This window comes from Homo sapiens, chromosome 15, assembly GCF_000001405.40.
Source record: "Homo sapiens chromosome 15, GRCh38.p14 Primary Assembly".
Lineage (NCBI taxonomy): Eukaryota > Metazoa > Chordata > Mammalia > Primates > Hominidae > Homo > Homo sapiens.
The window spans coordinates 42,710,978-42,721,354 of record NC_000015.10 but is presented as its reverse complement, the minus strand read 5'-3'; the positions used below and the strand labels follow the sequence as shown (position 1 = coordinate 42,721,354).

Below are 10,377 nucleotides of genomic sequence, written 5' to 3'. Positions count from 1 at the left end.
GGCTGGCTTCTCTATTAAGGCGGGCAGGGTCACCTCCTGGTTATCCCCTGACTCAGATTCCCATAGGTGGCTCTGCCTCAGAAGCCCCAGGGCACTGTGGTCACTGTTAGGTGTGGCAGTGACTGTTCTGGATTCTCCCCTTTAGTTCTTACTTGGGCTATAGTTGAGCAACTTACCTGGTTGCTGTTTACCCTGCAAAGCAATGCCAAGTTCATGGGAAACTGTACATACATGTAAACTGAATCTTTGAAACAGCTATGAGTGGGTATTGCCAGGGTGATCTCCAGCTAATCTGCCAAGCTCGAATCACACACTTAGGCTATCCCGGTGCAGGATTTCATCTACTCTTCACTAGATAAAGTACACAGAGGACTTTTAATTTTAAAATGTTCTTTTTTGGTCAGTAGTCTTAGTAAGAGATTTATATGAAAAGAGGTAGGAGTATATAAATAGGGTGTTAAATATATCATGTCACCAAAAAATTTACCCGAGAAATAGAAGTTTAAAAGCAATTTTAAAAAACCTTCAATCAACAATATATAAATAACTTAATCTGAGGTAAGAGGGAAAAATGCCCTGCAAACACTTTAGAAAAACACATCTCTGCCACACTACAGAAATAGACCTTTACCACATCTTCTGAATCCCCAGTTCCCTCCATCTACCAAAGATTTTGGGCACCAGAACTAAAGATGAGAATCTCTCCCACCCCTACCACTTCCAGGTAAACACAAAGTTCATGTTCAGCCAGGCTAAAGTACAAGAAAACTGAACCCACTCTCCATCCCACCCCATCCTAGGATAGGTGGGGCCAGGGCAGAAATCATGGAATGCTCAGGACTCCACCCCTCCCAAGTGCACTGAGGTAAGTTCTGGAACTGAGCTTCCTCCCAACAAGCCACTCACCTCCTCTGGGAGTTCATTCACCTCCTCTCCCTTCCTCAAAGGACAATGTTTAATCTCTGAAATTCCTCTTGCCTTGTCAGCAGCCACCATCTGGCTGCCACTCCAACCAGTCCTCAAAAGAACTCAGCCTCCAACCCTGACCCCAAATCTGTCCAACCTGGTTCTATAGTGTCTTCCATCTGACCGAGCTCTAGAGTGACAGCTCCATATCAGAGCATCATCGCTCAACACCCCTGCCTCAGGCCAAGACCCAAATGTCTTCTCCTGGGAGGGAAAGGGAGAAAAAAAGCAAAAATCAATAATAAAGTATTTTGCAAAAACTCAAGAGGGAGAAAAGATTCTGAATCGGTGTTCTGGTTTGTGCAGCTGTTTTTTAAACCCTCTTTCTGTTTTGGTATTTTTAACGTCCCATCACACAGTAGAGCTGAATGCTAGAGGAGGTAGATTCAGAACAGAGTCTTGGCCAGTGGCTGCCTGCTTCCCTACCAGCCTGCGGAAGCACCTTGCCAAAGCACTGCAGTCCCCGGCTCTGCTGGCTGTGCCCAGTCCTGGTCCTTAAGTGTCCTGTCTGCCGCAGAGTCCCAGAAACAGGAAAGAAAGGTGAGAAATCCAAAAGGTGAGCGGAGCTGCATTCACTCTGGATAGTCTGGGCCAGGAGCTCAGGCCGTTTGCTCTGCACTGGTGCCAGCTGTGACCAAGTACTGACTGGGCTTTGCTAGCATCCCTGGGCCAGTGCTGTCTGCCCCAATCGGCCACAGCAGGTAGCATCAGCTTTTCCTGCACTGTGGTATGGAAAGTAACAAGGAGCTGCCACAGTGTCTCTCTTGAGCAGCCTGGGCCTGCATCTCAGCAGCACCATCTTGACGGTGAGATGCTACCTACCAAGGAAGGAAGCCAGTCTGGCTATAACCAGTGGCTGCCGTTTGATGAAAGAGCTCAGGAGCTGAGGTGGGAAGCCTGGAGCACCAAGTTCCACCTGAAAGCAGAGAGAGAAGAATTTAAGGTGCAAATAGATTTGAGAGAATGCCAGGCGTACTCCAGTCCCATGGAGTCCCCTCAGCCTGTGGTGATGGGAGAAGCACCTCAGATTGTGGTTTGGTGTTTACAGGCCCCTGGGCTCTGCCATCCAGATCTAAGTATTGGCGTTCACCTCCTAGTGACAAAGTACAAGTCAAGGGACTGGGACGGGAGAGGTGAACCCAACAGGTCATCATTCCGCTCTGCTGAGGCTGCTGCTTTTGCCTCACAATGACTCATCTATCTCCTAAGGACACTGGGATCACCCACAGGATGCAGGTCACTAGGTTTTCGGTAACAGCAGCTTCAGAAAAGATTGATAAACTCCTGTCGCATTCCCTTCTCTCCAATTCCCCACTGACTCCCCTTACTGCAAAAGCCCAGGAAGCCCTCAAGTCTCCAGGTCTCAGGCCAAAGGGCCTGGGCACTGGAGGGTGTTCAAAAGCGAGACAGAAAAATCCCAGGGGGCTGTGGGACCAAGTCAGCCTGTGCTGTGAGGCCAGCTGCAAAGGATTTATCACCTGGGCCAAGTAGATGACTCTGGTGACTTCCTTCCCTTCCACAGTGATGGGCTGCAAGATCCAGGCACTGGGCAGGATCTCCCCGCGAACCATTTTTCTGCTGGGTCTTGGCATGGATGTATCATACACAGACTGGGCTGCCATGACAGACAGGTGACCCTGGGGACAGAGGGAAATGGGAGTCCTGCCTGTGTAGTGTGGACAAAACAGGAACAGGCTCCCGTGTAGACAGTATGGTGAAAGGCAACACTGGGCCAGCCTTCAAGCCACCCCTACCCTGGCTCCAGCCCCAATTTGCCCTCCTTCCCCTAGAGGACCTGAGGCCCACATAGATTGTTTCTCACGACACTTCAGCCCAAGTTCTTCCCACAACATCTTTACCACCAAGGCAGGCACCTCTTTGGCTTCCACGCAGACACAACAGAAATCCCGTGGCTGCTTCAGTGCGCACAGGGTGGTGTTGCACACCAAGTACACTGGAGGGACAGGGATAAGGAAGGTCAGGAGGCCCATGGACAGACCTAGTCCTAAAGCCTTCCTGGTCAGGGAGCCCTCCCCCCAACACCCCATCACTTGACACCTAGCTCAACCTAGGCTGAGCAATCAAGGTAACCTGAGTACCTGGCCTCCAAAGAGGGCTGCCTCCAACCCTCCACCTCTATCCCCCAGCAAGACCCCACTGGGCACACCAGAAACTAGGCCCCATGGAAGCCTTCCTTCCCTGGGCTCACCCAGGCTGATGCTGTTGGTCACTCGCTGATGCAGCCTTGCTGTCTGGATGGGCTTGTAATACAGGGGCCACACAGTGGGGTCACTGACAGCCGCCCACACACGAGACAGCGGCTGGGACACCACACCTGCCCCCAGGAAGCCATGCCGAGTGGGAGAAAACACCTTGTAGTAAAGCTGCACCGCCTGCTCCTCACCCTGATAGCTGGGGGGAGACACCAAGCACAGAAAATAGAAAGGGGTCAAAAATGGGCTCTAAGGGTCACAAAGGAGGGGCTCAGAGTGAAGACTTGAGGAATCCAGGTAAGGGAAAGGAGGAGAGAAGCCAAGCAGGGTGACAAGCTTACCAAGACAGACACTGTACAAAGGACCCTAAACAAACTTACTTCCAGCCAGCAGTTGCCTGGCAGCTGAAGAGGTTGTGCAAATTATCCGAACAAGCAGCCATTACCTGGGGACACAATGGCCACACCCAAATTAGGAGGCACAGTAAAAACTAAGCCCCTGGGTTAGTCAGTCTGGCCTGCATCTGCTAAATTCCCCTTTTCTTTTTTTTTGAGACAGGGTCTAGCTCTGTCACCCAGGCTGGAGTGGAGTGGCGTAATCACAGCTCACTGCAGCGTTAACCTCCTGGGCTTAAGCGATCCTCCCACCTCAGCCTCCCAGTCTCTAGGGCTACAGGTACACACCACCACACCCAGCTATCTTTTTTTATTTTTTTGGTAGAGACAGGGTCTCACCATGTTGCCCAGGCTGGTCTTGAACTCCTGGACTCAAGCAATCTTCCCACCTCAGCCTCCCAAAGTGCTGAGACTACAGGTGTGAGCTACCACGCCTGGCCTAATGTTTTTTATTTTTTTGTAGAGACAGGGTCTTGCTATGCTTCCCAGGCTGGTCTCGAACTCCTGACCTCAAGTGATCCTCCCACTTCAGCCTCCCAAAATGTTGGGATTATAGGCATGAGCTACTGCGCCTGACCCGAATTCCCCTTTTCTCAAGATGAAGAACCACTGAAGATGCCCACAAGCCTTGGGCTCCTCATCTGCCCAGCTTTTTTCCTACTTTCTCTTCCTGCACACCCAGCAGAGGTCTGGGTAAAGGAATGGTAGGGATGGGTGGGAGCAGTTACTCACATCAGCCATAGAAGTGTCCACGACATGCTTGGCCAAATCCTGGTAGGAGGAGGAAAAGCAGGTCCCCAAGCTGGACAGACTGGATGGTGAACAGCAGCAACTGCCCAGGGAGGCTCTGTGGCCTACAAGAAATAGGTGGAGGCCCTGTGATAGCACTGAACATCAGGGCCTCAGGACAGCAACAGCTCTCCCACAGACCAGTGACTCACTAAGATCTAGCAGCCATCAGCCCCCAAGTCCCCAAACCAGGCAGCTGGCTATGCCCAACACTCCCCGCAACTCACTGTAGGCAGAGTTCTTCCTCACTGCAGAATGGCCTCCTCGCTCATCCCCTATCCATACATCCCTGGAATCAGGCAAGTTTGTATGCCCCTGCAGAAGAGAGGATACTCAGGACAGAGCCAGAAGGCAAGCACAGAATTATCTCCTCTGCCTCTGAACTGCATCTCACAGCTTCCAGTGGGATGACTCAACTGCAAAGGTCTTCCCAGATGGGAATACAAGAGGCTCGATGTCCCCCAAAGAAGACCACAGCAATAGAAATAGGTATCTAGACGATCTCTGCTCCCCCTCTAAGCCACAGGCAGAGGCTGCTTACAGGAGAGTTCCAACAGGGATCAAAACAACCAGGGCCTGAGAGTATGGGGTGCTCTGCCAGCTTCCAAGCTAGGGGGTACCAGGGATCAGTGCATGAGAGGCTCTCTGCACCACCCGGGCAACAGGAATGAGGCCATGGCTAGAGGGGGTTTAACGGGGTAATAAATGTGGAAGATGGGATGGGAGGAAAAGTAATGGGCTATGAAAAGCTGAACGCTTGACCCCCACCCCAGGTGCAGCAGCCAAGCTAAAGGTCCTAACTGGGGATTAGATGGGGTTACCCTCTGGATCTGCAATGTGGTCACCACACCTCCACCGCAGCAAGCTCCTCAACAATAGGACCCTTGACCTCTGCTGGAACTCACAGGCACCCACCATCCTACCTCCATCATCACCTTTAACCTACTGCTACTCTGATCACAATAAAGGAGGAAACAAAGACAGTTCTCTATCCACCCTCATCTCCTTCTCACCTGCTGTCACAGACAGCAGGCCCTTCTGCCTCTGGCTTAGCTCTCACGCTGCCCTGTCAGAAGCCTTTCACTACTGATCACCAGTCTCTTCACTTGTTGCCCCCACCTCTTCCTCTTCACTGGATCTTTCCTATTAGCTACAACACTTGGCTAATTTTAAAAAAAAATTTGGGGGCCGGGCGGTGGCTCATGCCTGTAATCCCAACACTTTGGGAGGCCAAGGCGGTAGATCACCTGAGGTCAGGAGCTCCAGACCAGCCTGACCAACATGGTGAAACCCCATCTCTACTAACAATACAAAAAATTAGCCGGGCGTGGTGGCGGGCGCCTGTAATCCCAGCTACTTGAGAGAATCGCTTGAGCCCAGGACGCAGAGGTTGCAGTGAGCCGAGATTGTGCCACTGCACTCCGGCCTGGGCACAACAGAGAGAGACTCCATCTCAAAAAAAAAAAAAAAATTTGTAAAGACAGGATCTCACCCTGTTGCCCATGTTGGTCTTAGACTCCTGGGCTCAAGTGATCCTCCCCTCTGCGGCCTCCCAAAGTTTTGGGATTACAGGCGTGAGCCCCTGTGCCCGGCTTCTCTCATCTTTAAAACCCTCCTCTTCACTCTCCTGCCCTTCACAGATAAGCTTCTTGCAACCAGTCTCGCTGTTTGCCATCTCCCACTTCTCACTGACTTCTGAACCCACCCTAATCTAACATTTGCCCTCGTCACTCCTCCAAACAGCAGTCACCAAGGTCCACGGTGTCCGTGTGGCTGGATCATGTAAATAACTTCTGTCCTACATTTCCTGAGTCTCTCAGCAAGCTTTGACTTAGCCAGTCTCTCCCTTTCACTGACAGAATCACTTCCAGAGGCCCCGGCTTCTCATCTCTCTGAGTGGTTTTTTTTTTTTTGTTGATACATCCTCTTCAACTGTTGACATTTTGGGATTCTTTCAAAATTCAGGCCTAGGCCCTATTTTCTCACTCCATAATATATTCCTAAGTAACCTAATCTGTTCCCAGTGCTGTACAAAAATAAATATCCAAAAATTATTGGATACTGACTTCCAAAAATAAATATCCATAAATTAATCAATAAGTACTGCTGAGACAAATGGGCAGCCATCTGAAAAAAAAAAAGATTGCATCAGAGACCCATTTCACAGACATACCAAAATGGATCCTTTATGCTTTATGGATCAAAGATATACTGGGAGATGGAGGAGTATAAAAGTATTACAAGAAAATATAATTCAAAAGATAACTGTGCCTGTAGTACAGTTGCCTGGGAGGCTGGGCGGGAGAATCCCTTGAGTCCAGGAGTTTGAAACATGAGCCACTGTACCTGGCCTCAAAAATGGTTTAAGAAATTCTCAACAATTGAATCAAGGAAGAAATACAAACAGAAAATGCAAAATTATATTAAAAATGAAAATACATGTCACAAGCTATGGAAAATGGCTGAAGCAATGCTCAGAGGGAAATTTTTAGCTTTAAAAACATCCATGAAAAGAAATAAAAATAAATGAATTAATACTATGAACTATATGCCAACAAATTCAATAATGTAAATTACTGACTCAAAAGTTAAACTGACTCAAGGAGAAATAAAACATCTTAGTACAGGCCGGGCGGGATGGCTCACGCCTGTAATCCCAGCACTTTGGTAGGCCGAGGCGGGTGGATCACGAGGTCAGGAGATCGAGACCATCCTGGCTAACATGGTGAAACCCCTGTCTCCACTAAAAGAATACAAAAAAATTAGCCGGGCATGGTGGAGGGCGCCTGTAGTCCCAGCTACTCGGGAGGCTGAGGCAGGAGAATGGCGTGAACCCAGGAAGCGGAGCTTGCAGTGAGCTGAGATCGCACCACTGCCCTCCAGCCTGGGGGACAGAGCAAGACACCGTCTCAAAAAAAAAAAAAAAAAAAAAATCTTAGTGCATATTTTATTTACAAATTTAAGATACTAAATTAGTGATCAAAGAAAATTTCAAGATAGCTTCATTAGTAAAATCTACCAAACGTTTAAGGAATTAATACCAATCCTTCCCAGATTCTTCCAAAAATCAGGAGGGAACACTTGCCAACTCATTCTATAGGGCCAGAATTACCCTGACACAAAAACTGGGCAAAGACATCACAAGTAAACTATAGAGTAATATCCCTTATGAATACACACACACAAATCCTCAACAAAATACTAGTAAACTGAAATCTAGCAACACATAAAAGATCATATATCACGAGCAAGTAGGATTTATCACAGAAACACAGGGCTGGCTCGACATACAAAAATCAATGCAATACACTATATTAATAAAAGAAAAGACCCAGTAAGATTATCTCAGTAGACACCAGAAAAAAGTATTTGACTAAATCCAGTACCTTTTCATGATAAAAATATTCAAAAAACTAGGAATATAAGGGAATTTCCTCAACCTGATAAAGGTCAGCTATAAAACATGCACAGTTAACATCATACTTAATGGTGAAAGATGGATACCTTCCTCCTCAAATCAGGAGTAAGACAAGGACATCGGCTCTCACCACATCTAATAAACAGTGTACTGGAGATTCTAGCCAGCACAACTGGCAAGACAAAAACAAAAAAGGCAGATGACATGATCTTGCATATAGAATATCTTAAGGAATCTATTTTAAAAAACCATCAGAACTAATAAATGAATTCAGCAAGGGTATAGGAGACAAGAACGATATATAAAAATCAATTTTATTTCTGCATAATAGCAATGAAGAAACTGAAAATGAAGTGAAAACAATTCCATTTATAATACTGTCAACAGGAATAAAATACTTACGAATAAGTTTAATAAAATAAGCATAAAACTTATACTCTGAAAACTTCGAAACATTGTTGAAATTAAACCTAAATAAACACAATGACATCCCATATTCACAGAGCTAAAGACTTAATATTAAGATAGCAATGCTCCCCCAATTGATCTACCCATCAAAGTAATCCCAATGAAAATCCCAGCTGACTTCTTTGCAGAAATTGACAAGCTGATCCTAAAATTCATATGGAAATCTGAGAAACCCAGAATAGTCAAAGTAATCTTGAAAAAGAACAAAGTTGGAAGATGCCTACTTCCTGACTTCTAAAGGTACTACAAAACTACAGTAAAGAAGACAGTGTGAGGCTGGGTGCAACAGCTCACACCTGTCATCCTAGCACTTTGGGCGGCTGAGGTGGGAGGATCGCTTGAGGCCAGGAGTTTGAGACGAGCCCAGGCAAGATAGCGAGACCCTGTCACACACACACAAAAAGTGTGGTACTGGCATAAGGATAGATATGTAGATCAATGGAATAGAATTAGGAGTCCAGAAATAAAGCCATATGTCTATAGTCAACTGATCTTTGACAAGGGTGCCAAGACAATTCAATGGGGGAAATAATAATCTTTTAAACAAATGTTGTTGGGAGAACTGGATATCCATATGGAAAAGAATGAAATTCAACCCCTAGCTCTCACCATATGTAAGAATTAACTCAAAATGGGCCAAAGAATGCAATGTGGAAGCTAAAAGCATAAAACTCTTAGAAGAAAACATAGGCATAATCTTTGTGATCCTGGATTAGGCACTCGTTTCTTAGATATGAAACCAAAGCACAAGGAACAACAATAAAAAATAAACTGGACATCATCAAAATTAAACTTTTGGCTTCAAAGGGCACTATATCAAGACAGTGAACAGACACAAAGAATGGGAGGACATTTTCTGTGAATTATATATTTGCTAAGGGACTCTTAAAAAGACAAATAACCGAATCTTAAAATAGACAAAATATCCTGCTAGATATTTCTCCAAAGAAGACATATAAATGGGCAAAGGCACATTTATATATATATTATATATTATATATTATATATTATATATATATATATAATATATATATATATATAAAAAGATGCTCAACACCATTAGCCATCAGGGCAATGGAACTGAAGCCACATAAGGTACTACTTCCGATCCACTAGGACAGCTATAATCAAAAGTAGGTCATAGCAACTGTTGGTGAGGACGGAGAGAAACACACTGCTCATATACTGCTCGTGGGAAGGTAAAATAGGACAGCCACTGTGAAAAACAGTCTGGCAGTTCCTCTATGATCCTGCAACTCAACTCTAGATACATACCCAAGAGAAATGAAAACATATCCATACAAAAGCTTTACAGGGATGTTCATAGCAGCAATATTCATTAGTAGGCAAAAAGCACAAAACAACCTAAATGTCCATCAACTGAAGAATGGATAAATAAAATGTGGTTTATTCATATAATGGAGTATTACTCGGCCATAAAAACGAATGAAGCTCTCATATATTTTACAACATGAAGGACCCCTTGTTGTGGGTTAAATCACTGTCTCCACTGAAAATATGTTGAAGTATTTTCCCAGTATCTGTGAATTTGACCTAATTTGAAAATAAGGTCCCTGCAGATGTAACCAAGTTAATATAAGATAGTACTGGATTAGAGTGGTCCCTAAATCCAATGACTAATGTCCTTATAAGAAGGCTATGTGGAGCTGGGTGCAGTGGCTCACGCCTGTAATCCCAGCACTTTGGGAGGCTGAAGCGAGTGGATCACCTGAGGTCAGGAGTTGGAGACCAGCCTGGCCAACATGGTGAAACCCCGTCTCTACTAAAAATACAAAAAATTAGCGGGGCGTGGTGGCGGATGCCTGTAATCCCAGCTACCTGGGAGGCTGAGGCAGGAGAATTGCTTGAACCCAGGAGGCAGAGGTTGCAGTGAGCCGAGATCGTGCCACTGCACTCCAGCCTGGGTAACAGAGCAAGACTCTGTCTCCAAAAAAAAAAAAAAAAAGTTATGTGGTAGCTTACGATGGTAATTTCAGCACTTTGAGAGGCTGAGGCGGGAGGATCACTTGAGGTCAGGTGTTGCAGGTAAGAATGAGCTGTGATTGCACCACAGCAGTCCAGTCCAGGTGACAGAGACCCTGTCTCTTAAAAAAAAGTTAAATTAAAA

The 10,377-nt window shown here is 46.1% G+C and overlaps 1 protein-coding gene across 15 annotated transcripts in view; it reads right to left on the bottom strand.

The window, feature by feature from the left end:
- Window positions 1-356: 356 nt before the first annotated feature.
- STARD9 (StAR related lipid transfer domain containing 9) overlaps window positions 357-10,377 on the bottom strand; it is a 145,393-nt gene continuing 135,372 nt past the window's right edge. For 14 of the 15 annotated variants that reach the window (XM_011521831.4, XM_011521834.4, XM_017022439.3 and 11 more), the window contains 7 exons: window positions 4,591-4,678; window positions 4,307-4,428; window positions 3,560-3,624; window positions 3,176-3,378; window positions 2,826-2,920; window positions 2,445-2,603; window positions 357-1,882 (listed from right to left, as the gene is read on the bottom strand). In XM_011521831.4, the coding sequence (XP_011520133.1) occupies window positions 1,781-1,882; window positions 2,445-2,603; window positions 2,826-2,920; window positions 3,176-3,378; window positions 3,560-3,624; window positions 4,307-4,428; window positions 4,591-4,678 (834 nt within the window). In that variant the 3' untranslated portion in view covers window positions 357-1,780. The remainder of the gene's footprint in view (window positions 1,883-2,444; window positions 2,604-2,825; window positions 2,921-3,175; window positions 3,379-3,559; window positions 3,625-4,306; window positions 4,429-4,590; window positions 4,679-10,377) is intronic. The other variant, NM_020759.3, reaches the window with a different exon arrangement.